The 26,855-nt window shown below is 42.5% G+C and overlaps 1 long non-coding RNA gene across 1 annotated transcript; it reads right to left on the reverse strand.

Annotated features, from left to right (window-relative positions):
* Positions 1-749: 749 nt before the first annotated feature.
* Positions 750-26,395, reverse strand: FAM230H (family with sequence similarity 230 member H). Its single transcript, NR_136559.2, has 12 exons — positions 26,292-26,395; positions 22,555-22,613; positions 22,062-22,086; positions 19,029-19,115; positions 14,059-14,124; positions 11,998-12,059; positions 11,499-11,532; positions 7,318-9,283; positions 6,712-6,784; positions 6,445-6,485; positions 5,828-5,982; positions 750-1,183 (listed from the first exon to the last, which is right to left on the reverse strand). It is a non-coding gene; the product is annotated as a family with sequence similarity 230 member H (long non-coding RNA).
* Positions 26,396-26,855: the final 460 nt, after the last annotated feature.

The raw sequence follows: 26,855 nt of genomic DNA on the forward strand, positions 1-26,855 counted from the left end.
TGAATCAAGTGTTTTGTAACTGCTATTCATTTATTCAGCAAATATTTATTGATCATCTCTTCTCCATAAGATAGTGTGATAAACACAGTCATGAATAAAGTTATTTTCCACAAAAGGACTTTGCAGTTTTAACGGGGGGCAGTAGGGCTTGTGCTATAGAAATTCAAAGGCAAGGGAAGTCACTTCTGTTGTGGGGCCCTGGGAGGAGCCTCCAGGCTGGAAAGGCTTAAGGTGGAGGTCTCCGATAGGGGCAGCGTACACAGTGGACTGGCTGCAAAAGGCCATGCTCAGCATTCAGACAGCATCACACACTCCGCTTTTCTCTACCAGGGAGGCAGGTGGGGAAGGATAGCGATGGGAAGGCAGGCGGAGCTCAGAATGTGGAAGGGGATCCAGTAAGGCTTGGAAGTTTGCACCTGATCTGGTGGGTGGTGAGGAGCCCTTGAAGGGGCAAGGAGGCGAGGAGCACTCAGCTGTGTTCTTACACTGATCTGCCACTGGGGTTAGAGACAAACGTGGTGGGAATGGAAAGCCACGCACAGTCACTAGCGCCTCTGGGGGGAGAATGGATGTGGCTGGTGAGAGAACAGGGGGGCCCAGGGAGAGTCCGGCACCAACCTGGGCGGGGGAGCCCAGTGGGTGTGAGCACCCCCACTTTAGAGATGAAGTGATGGAGACATTCAGATGTTTAACCCCTTGTTCAAGATTCCATACTTGATAAATGGCAGATCAAACTCCCAACATAAAATGTGGGTCATTTCTTTATTATTTTATTTGTATTGGTTAACAATGATCAGCCATGCAAGAATAAATGATTATTGTAAAATCTGCAAACAATGTAGATATGTAGAGAGTCCCTTCCTTGGAGCTTGACCTTGTCAGACAGGTATAGATGAGTGTTCCGGGGCAGCCGTAAAAACTGCCAGAGACTGGGCTGCTTATAACAGAAACGCATGGTCTCCCAGAAGCCCACATTCAAGGTGGCCAAAGGCCTGGCTCCTGGAGGCTCTGGAGGAGAGCCTGTTCCCTGTCTCTCAGCTTCTGCCGGTTGCCAGCAAGTGTTGCCGTTCATTCACTCCAGCCACTGCCTCCATCTGCACACAGCAAAACAGCGTATCCTGAAGTGCTCAACCTTATAGCCATTATTTTAAAATATCCGGAACACACAGGACCGTGGGAGTGGCTGTTGGAGAAATTTTCATGAAGGAAGAAAGATTACAACTAAGTTTTAAAATGCTAGTTTTGTTTGTTTTGTCTGGGAGAGGAGGTAAAAGTGGGAGTAAAAATAGGGAGTTTGGTGTAAGGTGGGAAAAGCAAAGGAACCCCGCATGGATGGGCTGAAGGGTGTGATGGGAGAACAGTGAGAAGTACGTTTGGGGAAGCAATTGGAAATAGTAGCTAAGCTTAATCACAATCTATCAAAAGGGACTTGTTGAAGAATTAATGTGTGACTAGGAACAGGGAGGTTATGGGCTTGTCAGCTCGACAGCGGGCACTCAGTTCCACTAACGAATGATGCCCGTGTGGACAGACAGAATGATGGACAGGCAGATGAATGCGTGGGCTTTATGTGAAACAGGTCCTCTTGGTTGTTGACAAGATACTGTTTTAAAGTTCCATTTTGCCATACTGCGAACAGCTTGTCATTAGCTCAATTTAGCCACATGTAAAATCACTAAGGCGGACTTCCAGAGTTCCCACATGAAAATCAAATGTAAACCAGCAGTGACCTGCTTCAACACCATCATCGGAAGTCAGAAGTTGAACTCTTTTTTGATGTTTAAAGCCTGCATAATATTCGCTGTATTATTATTCAGCATATTACTATTTCCTTCGTGATGGAAATTTGGTTTATCCCAATTTTCTATTCCATCAAAACACCGCTACATAGAAAATCCCCATGCACATATTTCTCCTAATTGTGGAAATATTTTACATAAAAGACTCTAGACATGGGATGAAATTCCCAGGTTATTGGAATTTTAAAATAGATAGGTACTCCCAAATTGACCTCTTACAAATTATATGAATTCGTAAGCTTCCAACTGTTATGGAGTTACCCATTTTGAGAAATCTGTGCTAAAAGGACCCAAACAATGCTGATGACAATGATCAGGATAATAAGTACGCTGGGAAGACAACAAAATGATTTAGATCTTAGACAAGTCATTCTAGGTGTCTCCACTGTTTCAGTTCTTGCGTTCGTTCATTCTTGTGCTTTTTCGTTTTACCAAATAAAATAGCTCCTTGATGTCATAGGAATCCACGCTATGCTTAATGAGTATTGGTTAGTAAAATGCCTATAACTAGTAATCTTCATCTATGCAATTAAATATTAATTCATAAAACACTTCAAATGTAAACAATAATTAGTAAATGAAAAGTACATAATACCTCAATTAGAAAAAAATCACTCCATTAAAAAGACATTATTTGTGTGATAAAAGAGATTGCCATTTTTGTATTTTTCTACAAGGTTAAAGAAAACTAAGTCAACTTATACAAGTGAATTTTAAAAGACTTTAGGGCAGGCGTGGTGGCTCACGCCTGTAATCCCAGCACTTTAAGAGGCCGAGGAGGGCAGATCACCTGAGGTCAGGAGTTCGAAACCAGCCTGACCAACATGGTGAAATCTCATTTCTACTAAAAATACAAAAAAATTAGCCCAGTGTGGTGGCATGTGCCTATAATCTCAGCTACTTGGGAGGCTGAGACAGGAGAATAGTTTGAACCTGGGAGGCGGAGGTTGCAATGAACCAGGATCGCACCATTGCACTCCAGCTTGGGCAACAAGAGTGAAACTCCATCTCAAAAATAAATAAATAAATAAATAAATAAAATAAGTAAAAGCCTTTAACCCAGAATGCTGAGTAAATTGGCCAAAAATGCTAACCTATGCATTTCAATACTATAGGAGTCGCATGGGTAGAAATAACCAGATGAAATACTTCTGGTATTTCACCTTCCCAACCCACACGAGCCAGTGTTTTTCTGTGAATAACAAAAACAGCAGAATTTACTTGCCTCTCCATAAGAGGTTACCACTTCTGTGTGTTCCCCCGAAACAGGTGGTGGCTGGGTGAGAAGGTGGACAGCACTAGGGCAGGAGATGGGGGCTCCAGTATCGTGGGTGAGCTTCCTAAACCTCTGCAACTTTCAGCCCCTAAATGGGATGAGCCATCAGAATTTTTAGCACAATGCCCAGAACAAAGTAAGGATTTGACAAATGACGCCTCTCTCCACATTGTTCTGTCATCAGCCACCGCATCCTGTACCTCCAAGCCCACTGGGCTCCGGCTGTTTCCATCACATGGAGAATGACTCAGAGCCTGGCCTCCAGCCACCCTCCTGGCCTTTCTGCTTCTCACTCTGCCACTGGCTCCTCATGGACCACCAGCCTGGGTGTCCTCAGACATACCACACACTTCACTGTGGGAGTCACGCAGCCCTCAATGCTCCTTCTCCAGGGAGCCACGGGGCTTTCCTCCTCAGGAGGACTCTGCAAGCAGCTGGATGAAGGGCCCTCCCGTCTCTCATCCTTCCTTAATTTTTGTCACAGTTCTCCTTCCTTCCACTCAGTGCAGTGCACACTGATTGATCCTCCATCTTCCCCAAAAGACAGGAACAGCATGAGCAGTGGAGAGTAGATTCCAATGATAGAAAAAATAGTCAGTGATTTCTCATTTCCATTGATCATCAATGAAGAAAATGTATCCTGAAGGTCATGTACCTCCTATGGGACTGCTGCATCCTCAGCCTCCTGAATTTCAGCCCAGCACCTTCCTCCCCAGCACAGCAACAGGTCAGCCCTTACCAGCATCCCTCTCTTATTGCCTTTGTGCAGAGCCAGCACCAGGGCCAGGGGAGGCCTTGGGATTGTCCCTCCCCAACAATCTGTGAAACAATCCTTTATGTCACCAACAAAGCACAGCCTTATGCACTGGTGGTCAGTCCCTCTCAACACCTCTGTCACTGTAAAGCTGGCAGGCAACCCTCCAAGGTTGGCCTTCCCAAGCACTGCACCTCTAGGTGACAGAGCACGTCCTTACCTTGAAGCCTGGGCGCCCAGTCTATCCTGTCCAATGAGCGAGCTGTGGAGAAGGGGGGATTCCGGGTTAAGGGGAGACTAGCAGGGCTCCTGCTTTTATGTTGCCCTGTTGGGAAGGCTATTAAAGAAACACAAAGTGCTAAGCAGTGAGGATAGAACATGTTTTCATTATTTCAACCAATACATTCCACAGATGGAATAATAAGAAATGCTACAACCAAGCTAACTGAATCCAACAGCATATCAAAAAGATAATCCACCATGATTCAAGTGGGTTTCATACTAGGGATGCAGGGATGGTTTAACATACGCAAGTCAATAAATGTGATACATCACATCAATAAAACTAAAAACAAAAATCACATGATAATCTGAATAGATGCAGAAAAAGCCTTTGACAAAATCCAGCATTTCTTTATGATTAAAACCGTTCATCAAAATCAGCGTAGAACGGACATACCTTAAGGTAATAAAAGCTATCTATGACAAACCCACAGCCAACATTTTCCTGAATGGGGGAGAGTTGAAAGCATTCCCCCTGAGGAAGGGAACAAGACAAAGATGCCCACGTTCACCGCTTCTCAACACAGTGCTGTTCACTACAGCATTGGTTATAAGAGCAAGACTGGAAACAGAACAAATGGATACCCATAGCGGGGTGCTTAAGTAATTTTGGGAATAGTCATGGGGTGCAGTACTTTATAGCTCTGAAACAATACAATGGATTTACATTTGAAATGTGGAATGATAACTAAGGTGCATTGCCCAGTGATATATGCAGAGGTGCAGAGGACTTTGTGTAAACACGATCACACATCAGCCTGCATTCCAGGTGCATGCTTCTATTTGCACATAGATTGCAGGGATGATATGCAAACAAAAATGTTGACTTGGTGTTTGGAAGTTCAGAGTGGAAGGGAAACTTCCTTGCTAACCTTTTATGATATTTAGAGTTTCTAAATGTGAATACGTAATACATTTAGAAATCTTAGTTAATAAGAAAAGCCTCTGTTCCTGGCCTCTTGCTGGCACATGTCAGGTGGAAATGGGGCTGTCATGCTAATGTGTGCAAACTGAGAAAAATCCAAGAATGGGAGTCTGCTTTTTTCATCATACAAATAATTGTTAATAGAAACAGTATGATAATTGCTCATTGATATACCATGCATATTCTATTAGATAATAATAAATTTCTGAAATTTGAACTATACTTACACATGGAAATTGAAATATATGGATGAAACATTGTGGCTTATATAGGCAATTGTTTTATTGGCATTTTACAAACTGATCATCATTCCTCATGGCACGGGTCCATGTGATATTAAGTAGCTTGTTATGCTTGGGAAAGGCAGTGATGACCACAAGAATGACTTCAACTACTAAAGTACAATGGAGATTTCAACAATGTTTTGTTTAATATTTAAATATTTCATTGTGCTCCCAGGCTTTTTCTCACCCTAATAGCTCTCATCCATATCATGTGGGTCCCATTAATACAGATACCTCCGAATGCACCACTCTTCCATTATATCCAGTCAATTGCTGGTTACCTTGGGCCTACCAACTGGGGGAGGGCAGGGGCTGCTGGCCACCTCCTCATCTACAGTAAGAGTCAATGAGCAGTTAAATGGATACTGAAAACCATTTATCCTGCTGGAGTGAGAAATAAATGGTTTCTTTCAATAGCGTAGTAAAATGCATCTTTTCCAAACTATTTATATGACTCAAGGCCCATCTCAATTTCAGATGTGGTTAGCCTCAATTCCTGATTCTCACCAAGGTGTGTAATGTCATCCACGGCCCAGTGCAGAGGAACACAGGTGCTGCCGTCAGACTGCCAGGGTCCGATCCCGCCTCCTCACTCACCCCGGGAGATCCCTTTAAGCCAGGAGTCAACAGTGAGGATGGAAACATGAGTGCTTTTTAAAGTCCTGAAAGTTCAGAGGCAGACTGTCAATTTCTCCTCCACCCCTGGGCACACACCAGGAGAACTCTGTCTCCAGGTTGGAGGAAGTGCCTGTGAGAGAGTTGTGTCCCTCAGATTCTGTTCACCACAGGTGACACTCGATGCAACCCCAAACCTCTTCTGCACAATCCCAAGGGGTGCTGACTAATCCAACCCAAAGGCTGTGATGTTTGGCAGAGGCAGAAAAGAAAAGGCCAGGTGTTCTGGGAAAGACCACCTTTAAATAACACAGCACCCTCATAGCCCAGAGAGACAGTTCCAACTATTATGCCAATAAACCCGGAAAAGACCAAATCCAATATGACACATATTTCCTGTTTCGTTTTGATTTCATGCCCCCTCCCTTAACCTCCCAAGCAGCATGGATACCCCGAAGGCCCCTGGGAACTCTCTCCAATTGGATCTTACGTGGAAAGCAGTTACCTACCTACAAATCCCCATCATCAGATATGCTCTCCACAATCAAATCTTTAGAAACACAAACACCAGGATAAGTCATTAGAGAGAGGCCCACCCACTCCTCCCACCCTAGCTGAAGCCATGGTGCTTCGCACAGGATCCCCTGGTGTTTCCTCTGGGCTCACAGATATCCCTACAGCCTCTCTGGACATGGTTTTATACTTGCAAAATCATTTGCTCTCACCAGACCCCAAATCCTCCTTCCCAAAAGGAGCCCAGAATCAGGTTTCTGTACCCTAGAGATGGCGCTTTTTCCTCAGGAAGTGAGTTATTTCAGGGTACGTATCATTCTCCAGTGTCAATGGCTCCTGCAATTATAGAAAAGAAAACATTAGGAGGGTGAAATGATGCCATACACGTCACACAGATCTGATAGTCTCTCGACAACTTGAGAGAGAAAATAGGAAGGGGTATAGTGATTGAGTCAAAGGTCGAAGTCCCCCAAAACTGGCACGGAAGACACCTGTGGAAAAGACAAGACCTTTTCCCACAGAATTTATCTTTAAAGTGTATCTAGATTGGCAGTTTCACAACTCTTAATCCATGGGGGAAAACTGCTGTGGAGGGAAACACCTCTGCATTGCAGTGGATCGTGGATGCTGCCATCTACCACACCCCAGTGTGCCTGGCATGGGTTGGTGAGAGGCTGCCAATCAATAGCACCACACCAAGGGAATTGCAGATGTCATAAATAGTCCACATTGGCAGATGTTCATGTCTACATTTGATTAAACTGCAGATGACATCGATAATGCACACTGGCAGATGTTCATGCCTACATCTGATTGGAAAGAAGCCAGGAAAGTAACATTTCTGTTCAAGACAAAGAAAAGTGTCTTACATTGGCAGCATCTTCTTTTTTACAGATGTCTTGTACAGTGTCCTCATTAGCAATGTCATATACAGCGTCCTTATTAGCGAATTCGTATACAGCATCCTCATTAGCGATGCCATATACAGCGTCCTCATTAGCGATGTTGTATACAGCGTCCTCATTAGTGATGTCGTATAGAGCGTCCTCATTAGCGATGTCATATACAATGTCCTCATTAGCGATGTCATATACAGCAACCTCATTCGCTATGTCTTGTAAAGCATCCTCATTAGCGATGTCATATACAACGTCCTCATTAGCGATGTCGTATACAGCGTCCTCGTTAGCGATGTCTTGTACGGTGTCCTTATAAGCAATGTCGTCTACAGCGTCCTCGTTAGCATGCCTTGTGGGTGCCATTAGCGATGTCATATACAGCATCCTCATTGGTGATGTCTTATATGGTGTCCTCATTAGCGATGTTGTGTACAGCGTCCTCGTTAGCAATGCCTTGTACAGTGTCCTCGTTAGCGATGCCATATACAGTGTCCTCATTAGTGATGGCTTGTACACTGTCCTCATTAGTGATGTCGTGTACAGCATCCTCGTTAGCGTGCCTTGTACGGTGTCATTAGCGATGTCGTATACAGCGTCATAATTAGCGATGTCTTATACGGTGTCATCATTAGTGATGTTGTGTACAGCGTCATCGTTAGCGATGCCTTGTATGGTGTCCTCATTAGCGATGTCGTATACAGCGTGCTCACTAGCGATGTCTTTTTTTATATATATATACTTTAAGTTTTAGGGTACATGTGCACATTGTGCAGGTTAGTTACATATGTATACATGTGCCGTGCTGGTGCGCTGCACCCACTAACTCATCATCTAGCATTAGGTATATCTCCCGATGCTATCCCTCCCCCCCCAACCCCACAACAGTCCCCAGAGTGTGATATTCCCCTTCCTGTGTCCATGTGATCTCATTGTTCAATTCCCATCTATGAGTGAGAATATGCGGTGTTTGGTTTTTTGTTCTTGCGATAGTTACTAGCGATGTCTTATACGCTGTCCTCATTAGCAATGTCGTGTACAGCGTCCACGTTAGCGTGCCTTGTCGGTGCCATTAGCAATGTCGTATAAAGCGCCCTCATTGGTGATGTCTTGTACAGTGCCCTCATTAGCGATGTTGTGTACAGTGTACTTGTTAGCGACGGCTTGTAGGGTGTCCTCGTTAGCGATGTCGTATACAGCTCGTTGGCGATGCCGTGGGCGGCGTCCTCTTTGGCGATGCCCTGGGCGGCGTCCTCGTTGGCGATGCCCTGGGCGGCGTCCTCGTTGGCGATGCCCTGGGCGGCATCCTCCTTGGCGATGCCCTGGACGGCGTCCTCGCTGGCGATGCCGTGGGCGGCGTCCTCGCTGGCGATTCCGTGGGCGGCGTCCTCGTTGGCGATGCCCTGGGCGGCGTCCTCGTTGGCGATGCCATGGGCGGCGTCCTCTTTGGCGATGCCCTGGGCGGCGCCCTCGTTGGCGATGCCCTGGGCGGCGTCCTCCTTGGCGATGCCCTGGGCGGCGTCCTCTTTGGCGATGCCCTGGGCGGCGTCCTCGTTGGCGATGCCCTGGGCGGCGTCCTCCTTGGCGATGCCCTGGGCGGCGTCCTCGTTGGCGATGCCCTGGGCGGCGTCCTCGTTGGCGATGCCGTGGACGGCGTCCTCCTTGGCGATGCCCTGGGCGGCGTCCTCGTTGGCGATGCCCTGGGCGGCGTCCTCGCTGGCGATGCCGTGGGCGGCGTCCTCGCTGGCGATTCCGTGGGCGGCGTCCTCGCTGGCGATGCCGTGGGCGGCGTCCTCGTTGGCGATGCCGTGGGCGGCGTCCTCGTTGGCGATGCCCTTGTCGGCGGCCTCGTTAGCGATGTCGTGTACAGTATCCTCGTTAGCGATGTCGTGTGTGGCGTCCTCGTTAGTGATGTCGTGTACGGTGTCCTCATGGGGAGCTAGAAAAACACAGAGTTAAGGTCAGTGCCCTGGTGGTGGAGACTGTGAATCACCCAGGGGCTTGCTTGGTGTGATGTATGGAGGTGGCTGATCACAGCATGGGTCAAGCTGATGCTGGGACATCCTCCCAGGTGGACCTGCACTAGTGAAGCTAAGGGATGTGGCTCAGAACACTTTCTGCAGTGGGAATCAGTTTCCAGGTTCAGGTATGCATTATCTGGTGAAGTGGGGAAATATAAAAAATAAAAATTGACAAATTCATGAAAAGCCTTCCATGAGTGCAAGTGTGAGTTTTTTATCCACTTTACATTCAGTATGCATTCACACATACAAAATATTTTTACAAGAAATCAGAAATTTTAATTTTTGTCAGTTATGTGAAATCTAACTTAGCTGCCAGCATAAAGATTCTATCTCATTTACTTGGTCTCGAGAAAATCTAGCACATAGTAAGTAGACCAAAATGTTTATTAAATGAAAACACAGAGCAGAGATAGGGGGGCTGCTAGGCAGACTGGGTTGCACCTGATTACCCGGATGATAATAAACTGCACAAAACCTCGGTCAAATTAATATTGAAACTGCCTTTTGCTTGGGCTCGTTTCCCTTGCGGAAGAAGGATGACCAAGAAGATGAACAGGAAAGAAATGAGAAACAGAGGCCTTTGCTTAGTAGCTAAAGGCCACCTTCTGTAACATGAAATAGTCTACAAGTGGCCTTGAACTCTGCCGTGATTTAGTGACAGAGTTCCCTCATGTCTTCTACCCAGGTTGAAGTCCAGCAAAATTGCGACTGTCCTCTTTACAACTTGCGAGACCACACTGCTTCTGCATTTGCCTGTTGTATGTATGAGATTTACACGTGTTTTAAAGCAACATTTTGTTTCAGTTGGGCTGGTGGCCATACCCGGCACTAGCCGGTCAATAGTGAGATGGCTCCTCATGGAGGAGGCTTGGCTTGAGGCTGAGGGTCTTTAACCCACATATACAAGAGAGTTGCCACTAAGGGATGGAAGCCAGGCTAATAACCAAGTGCCACACAGAGTTCCTATCTGTCCCTCCTCACCATTTTTGGCTGGCAGGATTTGAGCATTTTAGGGCTTGGGAAGATAGTATTACTAAATCTACTAAAATACATCACCCATCCTTATAGACTTTGGCCAGTTGCTGAGCAAATTAACTTCACAACTGAAGTGGGCCACACTGGCCTTTGTGGTCCCCCACTCCTCTTAGAATTTGTGAGCGTGGGGCCTACTGGAGGGTGGGAGGTGGGAGGAGGGGGTGGATCAGGAAAAATAACTGATATTAGGCTCAATATATGGGTGATGCAATAATCTGTACAACAAACTCTCATAACACACATTTATATATGTAGCAAACCTGCACATCCTGCACATGTACCCCTGAACTGAAAAGTTAAATAAAAAAAGGGATCTGTGAGCTGAGCCAAACACCTGGGGATCTTTGTGCTTTTGACACACTGATGACTATGCCGGTCCGTGGGGAGATGAGCCTATAACTGCCCTGGGTTGTGTGACCACGGAGGCCACTTTATGATGATGGGCAGTGTCTGGGGCCTCTTGGGCTCGTTGCTTTAGGGCTTATACATGAATGCTGGACTCCGTGTGTGGTGGTGAACACCCCATGACTAAGTGCATGTCAGCGTCAGCACTGGTCCACACTCCTGGGTTCGTGTTTTCACTGTTTCATTCAGGAACTCGGGAGCTGGGGCCACTCCCTTGGCCCTTCACGTTCTCCACCTGAGCAGTGGGGATAATAAGGCAGACCCGGGGATGGCTCTGGTGAGGGTGGAGGAGTCACTGTACAGAGAGAGTAGAGCGGGGGTGGATTTTATTGTTAGAAGTGGACACTGGTGATTGGGTTGTATAAGTGGGAAATCTCTCCTGAGAAAACACACAGCCTCACCTGTACAGAAACACACACATTCACACCACACGATGCAGCCTCACACAAGACACCACCAATCCTCAAGCACCCAACTCAGCACCACCCAAAAGGGAGCACAGCTGCTTCCTCAAAATTTGGCCATAATTTTTCCCTGGGGAATTCAGGTTTTAAAAAAACACTTCCCCTATACTTATTCCTATCACAATCCCAGGATCAGGGAGGCTCTTCACATTGAAACCAGGCAAGGATGCCACACCTTTCTTGGCATCCAGATTGTTTTCTTGGCAAGTGATTCCAGAATACTTACTAGATTCAAGCCTCAGAGGGGCCACCTGCACCACCTGCAATACAGAAACAAAGCTTTTTCAGGGGTATGTCATGTTGTGGATTGTTTGCACAAGGCTCTGTTTCTCTCAATGAATACTGAAAACTTGATCAGAAAGTGTAGTCAACTTCAAGGCCTCCAAAACAAGGGTAGGATACACACTGGAAAAGACATCAGCTTCTGGATGGTGGATCTCTCAGGTCCACGTAGGTTGGCAAGTGCAAAATCCTGAATCCAAGGAGAAGACATTGCTTCCAAGGACAAGGACCCCAAGGATACAGTCTACAACCTGAAGCCGTCATAGCTAAATGCCATTTTGGATTACATATCAGTTGCTAAGAGTCACTTCTTCCTCCCCCTCAGAAAACTGCATTTAATACCTGTCATGGACATTGTCATTTTTTCACATGTAAAGTCAGTTGAAAAAGAAAGACACCAAGAAAGGAACATTTCTATTTCAGAGAAAGCAAGGCAACCTTACCCTCGCGTTGACTGGCCTCTCTCCATCTCCTCTGTCCTTGTGAACTAGAGACTCCTCAGAGGCTAGGAGGACACAGAGCAACAGTTAGTCATAGATGCTTTTGTTCATGAGTTATTCAGGGAGCTCTGCTTAATGTGGACAACAGGACAGTGTGTGTGGATGTGTTTCATTAAAAGCACAGCTTGAGCTCCTGCTAGAAAATCTTCCCTCGTGGAAAGACAGGCAAGAACGAGGAGCTAAGGAGCAAGAAATAGAGTCCCTGGCATTTTGCTGATGGCAACTTAAGAAAATGGGAATGAGTCAGTCTACAAATGGTACTGAAGCACATGCTATAGTTTGATGAGAGTCCCACTGCTCACACTGTGAGGTTTGAAACCCAGCTAAATGGTTTTCTAAACCTGTAAAAACAATATTAGCTTGCAGGATTTATGTCCCAAGACTACTTTTACCTCTGAGGATCCACAGTGGCTGTCACTGCAGTTATGTGTTTTAGCATTTTGCACTTGAATAAAAGCAAAGTTTAATAGATAGATTGGATTCAATTCTAGGCAAAACAGTCTATGGTATTTATTCACTAATCCTTTGTTATAACTGCTGATGGGAGAATTAGAAGTACTGAAATTATATCCTTTAAAATTAATTAAAGCATAATTATTAATCACACAATATTTTTTCATCCAGGCCTCCTTTTCTTTGTCATGCATGCATATTAATTGAGGATGGAGAATATCTACGCTTGTTCAGGCCAGCCAACATACGACAGTTTACTTCAAGAGAGGAGACACGGGTTGAATGCTGGTGTGTTTTAACTCTGCAGCGCAAACAGTTGCAACAAGTGTGGTGAACTAATCACCAGATGGCCCTTTGCTGCCTTATTTGTCATTGTGCCTTACATGTAGCTTGCAGGATTTGATTACGCTTATGTTTTGTGGTGATCATACTTTCAACTATTCCTAAAATACTGCTTCAGTCTTATCTGTTTGGGGTCAACTGCTGAGGATTTCATACAAATTAACGAAGTTTGTGAATCTAAAGTTCTACACAAAGGTGGAAATATTTGCAAATCATTTCTCTTGTAAGAGACTAAAATTTAGAATATATTTTAAATATATTTAAGATATATTCAAAAATCTACAACAACAAACTAACTAAATAAAAATCAGACAACTCTTTAAAAATGGGCAAAAGACTTCAACATATATTTCCCTAAAGAAGATACAGCCACAGATAGTAGCACAGGAAAAGCTGCTCAGGATCATTAGTCATTAGGGAAATGCAAATGAAAAACACAAGCAGCCACCAATATACACCTACTAGGATGATTTAAAGGAAAATAAGTGTGAAGAAGGACGTAAAGAAATTGTAACCCTGATACATTGATGGTAGAAATGGATAAAGTTGCAGCCACTGTGAAAAACAGTCTGCAGTGGCTCAGAAGGTTAAATATAGAACCCCTGTTGGACCCAGGAACTCTACTCTTAGGCACCCCAAAGAATAGAGAACAGAAATCAAACAGATGTTTGTATACTAATGTTTGTAGCATCACTTTTCACAGGAGCCAAAAGGTGGAAATAATCCAACCATCAGTGAACAAATGAATGTAATAAAAGCAAGGTGGTCTGCATGCAATGCTACATCATCCATCTGTAAAAAACGAACATCATTTTGATAGATGATACAACATGGGTGGACATTGAGAACATTATGCTTAGTGAAATAAGCCAGACACAAAAGGAATATATTGTATAATTGTAATTACATGAAGTGCCTAGAATAGTCAAATTCATACAAGAGAAAGTGGGATAGGAATCACCATGGGCTGGAAATAGGGGGAAGGTGCTATACTGCTTATTGTGGACAAGGTTTCGTAAGAAATCATCAAAATTGTGGGTGTAGATAGTGGTGTTGGTTATGCAACCCTGTGAATATATTGAATGCCATGGAGTGCACACTTTGGTTAAAAGGTTCAAATGATAAATATTGTGTTATATATATTTCCCCACGATAGAAAACACGCACAGCCAAGCCCACATGCCAGTCTTGTTAGCTGCCTTCCTTTACCTTCAAGAGTGGGCTGAAGCTTGTCCAATCTTTCAAGGTTGCTGAAGACTGTATGATGGAAGTCATCTGCATTGGGAAAGAAATTAATGGAGAGAGGAGAAAACTTGAGAATCCACACTACTCACCCTGCAGGGCCAAGAACTCTGTCTCCCATGCTTTGCTGTCCTGTCTCAGTATTTCCTGTGACCACCTCCTTTTTCAACTGAAGACTTTGTACCTGAAGGGGTTCCCAGGTTTTTCACCTCGGCCCTTGTCAGGACTGATCCTCTCAACTACTGACCATTTCACCTCCATTCATGTCCATGCCACATCAGGCTGTGTTGTCTAGATGGAATGAATCCATCCCAAATGTCCCTTTCTGGAGGAAGCCACCATTATGCTGTACCTCCAAGCATAATGGTACGTCCACACACACCAGGGCACCTCGCTCATGCAAGGTGCGTGTCCTCTAACAAAGTTTCACGCTCTAAACCCAGATAACTTTTCAAACCCAAGTTCTGTTGATTCCCCTACTTTGAGTGCTCCATAGATGCTCATTTGTCTACTAAACACTGCCCCAGGCAATTAAATATTCCAAAGTGACCAGCAGAATTTTTATGTTAATTCTGACATTGCGTTGTTAGTACAAGTGTTGTTCCCCCTTCAAATTTATGTCTTTGTTACTGATAAATGTAACTGATAATGCGTTTTTCAGCTATGTTGCCAAGCATATTTATATAAAAATATACTCAGATTGTTTTCAGAATTTGACAAAGATGATAGCAACAATGATAATCTTATTTGTTTTATACCAATCTTTATGTGTTATTTTCATCATTTCTTACATATTGGGGCCTACCATACATTGTACGGTGAAATTAGTGCTATGCATCATGGTAGAAATATAAATTGGCAAAAGTAATTTAGAAAATAGTTCCCTTGTTTCTTAAAAAAATTAGGCTGGGTGTGGTGGCTCATGCCTATAATCCCAGCACTTTGGGAGGCAGAGATGGGTGGATCACCTGAGGCTGGGAGTTTGAGACTAGCCTGACCAACACAGCAAAATCCTGTCTCTACTGAAAATACAAAAATTATCCAGGCATGGTGGCGTGTGCCAGTTGTCCCAGCTACTCGGGAGGTTGAGGCACGAGAATTGCTTAAACCTGGGAGGTGGAGGTTCCAGTGAGCCGAGTTTGTGCCACTGCACTCCAGCCTGGGTCTCAGAAAAAAAAAATTTTTTTTGACCGAAATGTCATTATGCATTACATGACTGTATATGAATGCTCAAAGCTACATTACTCATCAAAGAAAATAACAAAACAATTAAATGTCCATTAACTGATAAATGAATAAACACTATCTGTATGAGTAAACACAGCAGACTATGAAGGAAAACACATGACCAGCACGTGCTAACACGTCAATTAACTTCAAACATAGTATGCTAAATGAAGGAAGTCAGATTCCAAATATATATATATGTCCATTTCTATTAAGCAAATGGGAAATTTATGGAGATGGAATGTCACAGCAGTATTGCTTAGGGCTGGAGATGGGAGTGGGGATTAACTGCCAGTGCGCAAGAGAGAACTTGGGTGAGGGAAACATATTTAAATTAGATCGTGGTGATGGGTGCACACAGTATCAATTTAATAAAGCATCAAATTGTAGACCTTTTCAGTGGGCAAACTTTATGGTGGGTTCACACCCAATATAGGTGTTAAAAATAAATTAATGTTACGGAAATTCTTGTCGGGTTTTTAACAAGCCAAGAGATATGCTGTGAAAGCAGCATTAATTCAAATGGTTGTCACAGGTCACTTAAAGTTAGATAGTTGTCCTACAAATATAGGGTGAATGTTATTCATGAATTTCCTGAATCTATTGCAATAATCACATTTTTTTCCATTAAACTCTTGAGGTAGCTAATTTTATTTATTGCATTTTCAATGTTAATCTACTATTTCATATATTGAGATTAACTCACATTAGTCAGAATTTACAGTATTTTAAAATATCACAGAATTTAATTTACCTTATCTGGTTTTGGTTTCAAGACTATACTAGCCATTTCATTTAATTGTACATGTAGGGTATTCTAATTTATGGAAAACTATTACATCTTCCTTGATTTTTTTTTTTTTTTAGAAATTACTTCTAGGGATCTATATGGTAGAGTCCATGGAGAATTGTTTTAATTCTTCATTCATGTCTTCAGTGGGTATAGGATTGGTCATATTGGTCATAGTTTTCTGCTCGGATTTCAATAAGAAACTTGTGGAAGAACCTGAAGGGTGGGATCTTTGAGGGAGCCTAAGACAGAGCAAGACAAGCTAAGAAGGAGGGCAGTGCCACAGCAGAACTGCCGTTGATGCCCCCTCGCCTAGATTGCGGAAGAGACATCCAGCTGTAGACACTGAGGTGCAGGAAAACAATGGAGCACCATCAGAGAAAGCAGTGCCCAGGAACAAGGAGGCACTGATGGTGGCAAGGGGCAAAGACAGCTGCCACGAGGCTGTTCACATGAGGGTCTCAGGCTGCATAGACACCCACACCAGCTGAGGGGTCCTGGTTTTCATAAAGTGTGTGGCTCAGCCAGGCCACCAACAAGCAGTTCACAAACAGTAGTAATACGACACTTTCCAAAGACCTTACTTGAGTAACACGGTGATCCTCACAAATTTCCAATCAGGATGGTCGCACAGTTCCTCCTGCTTTAGGACTCAGAGCCTGCCCGTGGTCACAGTGGGTAGGTGCAGACTCTGAAGATGCACTTTGGTCAGAGACCCTGCTGAACTCTGTCTGATGAGGACCTCTGTCCTGTCTGCTGACCACCAGTCAGAGGTGCAGGCTGCAGTGGGGAGTAAGAATGCCACCTTCTCAATGTTGGGAAAACTCCCTGCCAGAACTGAGAATGGCCCTTTCTAAGCAGAAGGCAAGCTCAGACTAAAGAAGGAGGCCGAACACATCAGGTTGGCAGATTGCCAAAGATTCACTCAGGGAGAGCCCACATCCTGGGCCATCTTGGGTGGTGGCAAGATGAGGTAGACGACTGCTTTTGCAACACATACCTGACAACAAAAAATCAACAACTGTAAAAGAGCCACAAAATCCCCAAATATTTGCAAATTAGCAATGCACTTTTAAATAACTCATGGGTTAAAGAAGAAGTCTCAATAGAAAATTAAAAGTACTTTTAACTACATTAAAAGAAAATGTGACTTGGCAAGATTTCTGGATGTAGCAAAAGCAGTCCTTAGAGGGAAATCTATAGCATTGGATGCAATATACTAAAAATCACAAGACCTAAAATCAGTAATATCATGTTTCAATTAGGGAACTATAGAAAATAGAGGAATGCAATGGAAAGCAAGTAAAAGTAATAAACAACATCACAGAAATCAATAAAATTAAAACACTGAAATCATCAGAAAATCAATAAAACCAAAAGCTGGTTCTTTGATATGCTCATTACAATGAATGAATTGATATGCAGGCTAACCAAGAAAAAGAAGATAACACAAATGACCAATTTCAGAAATAAAAGAGGAGCCATCTCTACTGAACTGTTAGGCATTAAAAGGAATATCATGAACAGTTCTATGACCGCAGTTTGATAACCTCAGTGAAATGTATCAATTCCTTGAAAGGCAATCTTCCCAAGGTCATGCTAGGATCCTAATTTGAATAAACTTATGTCTATTAAATAAGTTGAATTCACATTAAGAGCATTCCGAAAAAGAAAGCACCAGGCCCAGATGGTTTCTCTCATGAAATCTACCGAATTCTTCAACAGGTGAATAAAAAGACAAAAATTCATTGAATGCAATATTATTTGGTGATTTAATGTGCCATTTTTTGCCATTAAGGCATAAAAAAGACATGAAAGCAGCTAAAGCGTACATCAATTTAGTGCAATAAATTCATCTGAAAAAACTACATAATATATGATTCCAACTATATGACATTCTGGAAAAGGCAAAGCTGAAGCGATAGTAAAAATATTAATAGTTGCCAAGGTTTCTGGAGAAAGAGGACAGAGATTAATGAGAAGAGAGGATTTTTAGGGAAGTGAACATTTTCTTTATGAGACCATAAGGGTGAACATAATGTTTTAAATATTTCAAAATTCATATATATGTATAACAGAAAGAATGAACATTATGCAAATGTAGACTTCAGATAATAATGTGTCAATATTTTCTCATTATTCTAGCAAATGTACCACAGTAATGTAAGATGTTACTAATAGGTGAAATTAGGAAGTGAGGGTGAGGAGACAGAATAATATGGGAACTTCGTGTATTATATACTCAATTTTTATTTATGTATTTATTTATTTATTTATTTATTTTGAGATGAAGTTTCACTCTTGTCACCCAGGCTGGAGTGCAATGGCATGATCTTGGCTCACTGCAACCTCTGCCTCCTGGGTTCAAGCGATTCTCCTGCCTCAGCCTCCTGAGTAGCTGGGATTACAGGCGCCTGCCACCACACCCGGCTAATTTTTTTGGATTTTTAGTAGAGATGGGGTTTCACCATGTTGGCCAGGCTGGTCTCCAACTCCTGACCTCAGATGATCCGCCTGCCTTGGCCTCCTAAAGTGCTGGGATTATAAGTGTGAGCCACCACGCCCGGCCATATGCTCAGTTTTTATGTCAATTTAAAACTCTCTAAAGAAATATATTAATTGAAAAATAATAATATAGCACCACTCTTTCAGGGAGATCTATGCTTATGTTTAACAACCAGGTAAGTTCTAGACATTAGCTTGAAACATTGTCTATCATTAAACATGAACCAAAATTGACTTTTAAGTAGATATTTACTTTTGTGGTGGTAGCAATATTTACTGACCAGGCAAATTAGAATCCTGACACATTAAAAAATATGGCTTAGTCTCTTCATAGTTTCCTCTTACATATGGGACACTGAATACTCCCCGCAACTGCAATTCTTGAATCAACTTAATTAATGAACTTCCACAGTACCTTCTTGTGGGTACCTCTTCTTCTTTACCCGGGAGCCATGAGGTCTCCTACACTGGTTGGTGTGCACAGCATATCTTCTTGTATTCTCTATCAGAGAAGATGCTGGTTAATGCATTGACAATAGATAGGGCTGTTGACATCTTGCTGACAGAAGACCAGAGGGAAAATAGTGATAATCTGTTCTAAGTTTAAACTTATGATCCTTTTCTTTACAGGCTTCCAAGCAGAGCCCACTGAATCAAAGTTGGGTTTCAGGAAGATCACGGAGTTCAGTGAGCACTCAACACCTCTATCAGACAGACTGCGTGGGCAGTGCCTTCCTGGAGAGGAGAACACAGCAGGATGACTGTGAGTGCAGGGCTGGTGCAGAGTGGGGGCCCGGATTCAAATTCCACTAAGCCATGTGGACCTGGCAAGCTCATGTCCTCCCTCTGCCCTCAGTTCTCTGCACTGTCATAATGTAATTTTAGCAATACTTTTTAGGCCCTATTTAAGCCCTACTTCTTAGTATCACAGTACAGGGCTAAAAAATCACTAAATACAGGAAAACCTTAGAGAGGACTGGTACTTCAGTAATGTTCTCTAAGTGTTTACTACATGCCAGGAGGAATAAGCTGGACACTTAGCAGTGGCGGAATATGGAGGGGGAACTTGCATGACTCCGGGGCAGTGGAGCATGCTTTCCTGTTCGGCTTTTCCGTGGGCATGACGCCTTATGGTTTATGGAGAACATCAGCCCTGCAGGGGGTGCAGAGGAGGGGCTGTGGCTGAGATTTTACACTTGAGGGTGCTGACATTCAGAGATGATAAGTGACGAGCAGAACCTCAACCCCGCTGAGTGAAGGACCTGAGATGGGAAATGTATTTGGTTCCCTAGAGAGAGAGATTCCTGAAAAACTGCCACCTCTTCATCACGCCCTGTGCCAGAGACCCAAGAGACCCCTCACTGTCTTTCTCCAGTCCTCCTAGCCCAAGGTGTGTGGGTGGACAAAGGTGATGCTCTGGAGGAAATGCCTGAGATAAGGACAGGTCCTTAATGATAAAGAATTCTCCTTCCTCTTTCAGATCCTTGACCTCCCAGTATGACAGCTTAAAGGCTGTCATCTCTGTGGCCTGCCTCCCCTTTCCCTTCACCCTGCCAGCTGCCTCTCAGTGACTGTCTCCTCCAGTGACTACACTGAGGGACCAGGGACTGCTTGCCTCCCGAGGCTGCTCAGACCTTCCGACACCACAAAATGATTGTCAAAAGATGGGTCTGCAAAGAGTAACTTCCCTTCCACTGATCAAACCTGAATATGCAAGCTACTGTCAATTAACTGGAAAAGTGGCCGTGTGGGCTGGTGCTTTGGTGATTTAATGAATTAAGTCTGCAAGCCCCACTGCCTCCTTGACTATTGATCAGAGCTGCCTGCAATAAGGTCTGGCTAAGAATGGGCAGTGGCTGCACCAGCTCTGGGTAAAATTTGACCTAAAATGACCAATCTCATTCACTAACCACACCATAGTCTTATGGGTTCAATGGACCTGTCCAATCCTTTGCTCTGTTCTCTCCATCACCTTCCTGTGTAATTTTCCTCCACCACGCACATAATAGAAACATGGCACAGGGGAGCTAATCGCCTCTTTTATCCCCCACTTCAGGCTCACACGTAAGTTTATAGTAAAAGCCTTTTCAAATGACTGCTTTAACTGCTGCTACAGCATGTGCCATCAGTTGAATGGAATCTGTCACGTGACTTTAAGCAACCCTTTGCTGAGAGACAAGATTCAATACTAGGGACAGTATTCTAGTGTACTACATCATTGATTTTATGTTATGAAGATCATCATTTATTGAAAATGTATAAATAACGAAGCCCAGCCTTACTCTTCAACGCTGTGTGTGTAAATCCACTGAGTGTGCTGACCCCCACGCTTGTACCCACCTGCTAACACAGAAAGGGTCCACTCAGAAGGCAGGCACAGCTCCAGCACTGAGGCTGTCCACACCAGCTTCACAAGAGGGTTGCCACAAGGACGACGGATACCCGGATAACAACCAAATGGTAATTTGAGTACTTAATGGTCATGATCCCTAAAGTGTGTAGCTCAGAGGGCTTGTGGTGATAACTCCATCAAGACTCTAAAGCATCTCCCCAATTCTTACTGGACTTGATCCATGTCTTGAGGAGACCCAGCTATGACACGCAGGCACCACATTGTCCTACTTAGTGCCTCCCTTAGTGTTTCAGAACCTGTGATTTGATCAGAAACATGGGCTTTCTATGTTGGTTTCACACTAAGGACTATGTGACACCTGCAGGAAGATGTCTACATAGCTACCTGGATTATGAGATCATGAGGCTGTCTTATGTGAGGGATGGCATTTGGGATCTCTGCAGGTGTGGGTAATTCCAGGCATAGAGGGTGCTGGAACTCCCTTGCATGGTGAATAGTGATCTCTTCACTGGCTGATAAATAGAGGTTGTAGTTCAGGCCTTCAACATTAGCACTGTATGAGGAAACATTTTGACTCTTCACTATGCAGCAAGTGAACCAGGGCACATTTATTTATGTGGCTTAGTTTCTCCATCTGGCATGTGGGCTCAATAAACAAGCTCACAACATATGGGCATGATGATGATGAGGTGTGAACTAATGTAAGTAAAGTATGTGGTCTGATTTGTTAAATTAAGAAAAATGGCACTGAGAGTTGTGCTGGGTAAACACAACATTTTTTTCCTAGGGGAAACACACATAGACACACATTCACAAGCAAATCATGCAGACTTGCACACAGACCACCTCACCCCACCCCCGCCCTAATACACACATACCCACACACAACCTAATGTGAACATGTTCCCAGAAACTATACATAGATAAAAAGAGTATGTCACCAGGAAAACCAGTTTCTTTTACTATACCCTACATCCTCATTCCCACCAGATGTCTTGGATCATGGAGGCTCTCCAGACAAAAGCCAGCAGTTAAGCTCCAGATTTCCTGTAGAATCCTTTTCTAACAACCAGTGAGTGATTCCAGAATACGTACCATTGAATGTGCTCCCTGAAGTCACCTGTAATTAGAGAAGGAAAACACTCTGAGAATCAGGCTATGCTATGGATGGCTCACACAGGTCTTTTGTTCACTTGGAAACTCTGGGTAACCAAGACTGGAAATAAGGTTCAAGTCAAAAGCCCCAACTGTAGAGTAGAGTTCCCTTAGGAAAGCACAGGAGCTTTTCTTGAAGAATGTTTCTGTCTAGGTAATTTTTGAGTAGCAATTGCAGAATTCTTATCTAAAGTGGAAAGCTTGTTCCTGAAGAAAACATCCCTTAACACCCAGTGTACTATCTGACACTGCCAATTTTGCACGTCCTCTGGAATCAGGTGTCAGTTGGTAAAATACACCTCCTCCATCCCCAAGGAAATATTATCTAACACCTATAATGTAGTGGAGAATTTTCCCATAGCTGATATCAACTGAAAAATAAAGGATCCAAGAAAACAACATTTACATCTTAGGCAAAGACAGGCTACTTTACCTTGGTAGTAGAGTAGGGCTTCCTTTTCACATGCTTTTTGGAAGGCTTCTTCGAGTCACCTAGGGGATGTGGAGGGACACAGCATGGCTGTCAGTTCATTGGCAGTGCTACTCATGAATGACTCAGGGACTGGAACTTAGGGGCGTGCCTGGTTAACAGGCATGGAATGAGCTTCTCCTGGACCATCTTCTTCACGGACCAAGGAAGGCAAAGAAAGAGCAGCAAGGAAATGAGAGTAGAGCCCTTGGCTTTCCAGGTAATGGCAAATGAAAGCAACGTGAAATAATCAACTCCAAATGAACAAATGCTAAAATACATGCTAGGATTCAACCACAGCATCCTGTCACTTCTTCAGACCCTTTAAAAGCCCAGCAGGACTGCCACTAGCTTCTTGACATCTACCAAGTCCCTTTCAACCTCCACAGACCCACATACACTGCTACTGCATTTATCATGGAGGGTATAGGGTTCTGCCTTGTTTATGTGTGAATTTTTTAAAAACTAGATTTAATACCATGCACCAGCATTAATTGTATTTATTTCTTTTCTTGGTTATGAAAATAATCAGTCAGGCATAGTGGCTCACACCTGTAATCCCAGCAGTTTGGAAGGTGGAGGTGGGTGGATCATTTGAGGTCAGGAGTTCGAGACCAGCCTGACCAACATGGTAAAACCCCATCATTGAAGATAAATGTTTTATATCCATGGTTAACAGATGAGATGACTATGAAATGAACACCAGTGTACTGGGTGGAGCAGCTTATCTATTCAGTCTTCGGCACTAAAACCTGTGAAACAATATCATCTTGCCTTATTTACTAACAAATACAAGTGCCTCTAAACTTAGACAGTTTCCAAGTCATGGAACTGATGAGCACTTAGCTCCTGCAGAGAGCTCTGGACGATGGGTCGGGAGAACAAAGACACAATACATCAAAACAGCATTCACAAGTAAACAGGTTTTCAAAGCCCTCTACATGCAAATTTACACAATTATCCTTTTAATTTTTATCTTCATATATATGTACATAATCTACTTGCTTCTGAGTATAAATAAAACTGTATGTTCTTAGTTAATAGTCTCTATAAATTCACTCTATTTATCTTTCTGAGTTGAAATACTGCATCTCATTGGATAACAAAAAAAAAATTTGACTAAGATTACACTGGAAAGGTGAGTAGGTTGGGTGATTGACTGTGATTGACAATTCCATGATTCTGGATAACTTCCAAAGCATAAAAATAAATGTGTGTTTTCTTTCACACGTAGACAATACACATACTTATTACTTTAAAAAATTAATATGTGCATGGAAGTGACTTACTACAAATATATTAAAGTAAATACACATTTCACAAAAAAAGAAGAGAGGAAGGGAAAAACATGTTAAAAACAAAGAGAGGTACATTTTATTGTGTGAAAAGCCTCCAACGGATCCATACTACTGTGGCTTTGTTCCAAAGTTTTGGAAAGTAATGATTTCATAGGTTCTTAATTGGGTTAAAAACTGCATTAAAATAGACTTTGCCATATTCTCCCCTGGGGAATAACTTAATCTGTGGGGTGGGGGATGGAACGTTGAAGGATGCAGGATGTAAAAGGAAATTATATATATATATATAATTTGGGAATTTGGGAATAAACTGAATAAACTGAATCCCAATTCACACTGGGACTACACCAGCTGCCACCATGCCTGGCTAAATTTTTGTATTTGTAGTAGAGACAGGGTTTCACTGTATTGGCCAGGATGGTCTTGATCTCCTCACCTTGTGATCCTCTTGCCTTGGCCTCCCAAAGTGCTGGGATTACAGGCCTGAGTCAAGATACATATTTTTTAAATGAAGAAAAATTTCAAAGATACTCTGCTTGGTACAATAATCAAATATATAAATTGAGGAATAAAACATAATCATGAAACATATTTATAACTGCATATGGAAAATACAGAGGCTAATTTTTTAAATAACATATTTTGAAAGCATTAACTAGTAATTTGAAAAGATCGCATTTGACAGGCCAGTATGAACATACCTTGAATGCAGCCACACAGGTTCCCCATAAGAAAAATCAAAATCAGGGAAAATGAAACCACAATGGTTCAATCTGCTCTGACCTTTGAAAAACTCAGCACAGATAGTGGCACTTAGGACCAAGGGCAGAAGATCCCTAATCCCATCACCATGGCGATAGGGCATAAACATTCCAGGGTGAAGGCACAATCCACACTGTGAGGTCCAACTGCTGCCATGCAGACAGGTGGGCTTTTACAAGTACAGGAAGGTCATCAAAGGCTCAGTGTTTTGTTTCAAAAACTGAATCCCAAGCCCACACATTATTATGCTGGCTTCTTAAAATAAGTTATGAGACAGGAAATAGGGCACCCACAAATATATATATATATAATTATATATAATATAATATATATTATATATATAATATATTTAATATATTATATATGTATTTTATATGTATATATATATAATTTGGGAATTTGGGAATAAACTGAATCCCAATTCACACTGGGACTACACCAGCTGCCACCATGCCTGGCTAATTTTTTGTATTTGTAGTAGAGACAGGGTTTCACTGTATTGGCCAGGATGGTCTTGATCTCCTCACCTTGTGATCCTCTTGCCTTGGCCTCCCAAAGTGCTGGGATTACAGGCCTGAGTCAAGATACATATTTTTTAAATGAAGAAAAATTTCAAAGATACTCTGCTTGGTACAATAATCAAATATATAAATTGAGGAATAAAACATAATCATGAAAAATATTTATAACTGCATATGGAAAATACAGAGGCTAATTTTTTAAATAACATATTTTGAAAGCATTAACTAGTAATTTGAAAAGATCGCATTTGACAGGCCAGTATGAACATACCTTGAATGCAGCCACACAGGTTCCCCATAAGAAAAATCAAAATCAGGGAAAATGAAACCACAATGGTTCAATCTGCTCTGACCTTTGAAAAACTCAGCACAGATAGTGGCACTTAGGACCAAGGGCAGGAGATCCCTAATCCCATCACCATGGTGATAGGGCATAAACATTCCAGGGTGAAGGCACAATCCACACTGTGAGGTCCAACTGCTGCCATGCAGACAGGTGGGCTTTTACAAGTACAGGAAGGTCATCAAAGGCTCAGTGTTTTGTTTCAAAAACTGAATCCCAAGCCTACACATTATTATGCTGGCTTCTTAAAATAAGTTATGAGATGGGAAATAGGGAACCCACAAATATATATATACATAAAATTATATATAATATAATATATATTATATATATAATATATTTAATATATTATATATATATTTTATATATATATAATTTGGGAATTTGGGAATAAACTGAATCCCAATTCACACTGGGACTACACCAGCTGCCACCATGCCTGGCTAATTTTTTGTATTTGTAGTAGAGACAGGGTTTCACTGTATTGGCCAGGATGGTCTTGATCTCCTCACCTTGTGATCCTCTTGCCTTGGCCTCCCAAAGTGCTGGGATTACAGGCCTGAGTCAAGATACATATTTTTTAAATGAAGAAAAATTTCAAAGATACTCTGCTTGGTACAATAATCAAATATATAAATTGAGGAATAAAACATAATCTTGAAACATATTTATAACTGCATATGGAAAATACAGAGGCTAATTTTTTAAATAACATATTTTGAAAGCATTAACTACTAATTTGAAAAGATCGCATTTGACAGGCCAGTATGAACATACCTTGAATGCAGCCACACAGGTTCCCCATAAGAAAAATCAAAATCAGGGAAAATGAAACCACAAAGGTTCAATCTGCTCTGACCTTTGAAAAACTCAGCACAGATAGTGGCACTTAGGACCAAGGGCAGCAGATCCCTAATCCCATCACCATGGCGATAGGGCATAAACATTCCAGGGTGAAGGCACAATCCACACTGTGAGGTCCAACTGCTGCCATGCAGACAGGTGTGCTTTCACAGGTACAGGAAGGTCATCGAAGGCTCAGTGTTTCGTTTCAAAAACTGAATCCCAAGTCCACAAATTATTATGCTGTGCTTCTTAAAATAAGTTATGAGATAGGAAATAGGGCACCCCCAAATATATATATATAATTACATATAATTATATATATATAATATATAACATATATATAATTTCCTTTTACATCCTGCATCCTTATATATAATATTATATTTAATATAATTATATAATATTATATTAAATATAATATATAATATTATATATAATATTATATATAATTATATAATTATATATGAAATGTAATAATGTATAATTATATATGTA

This window comes from Homo sapiens, chromosome 22 (assembly GCF_000001405.40).
Source record: "Homo sapiens chromosome 22, GRCh38.p14 Primary Assembly".
NCBI lineage: Eukaryota > Metazoa > Chordata > Mammalia > Primates > Hominidae > Homo > Homo sapiens.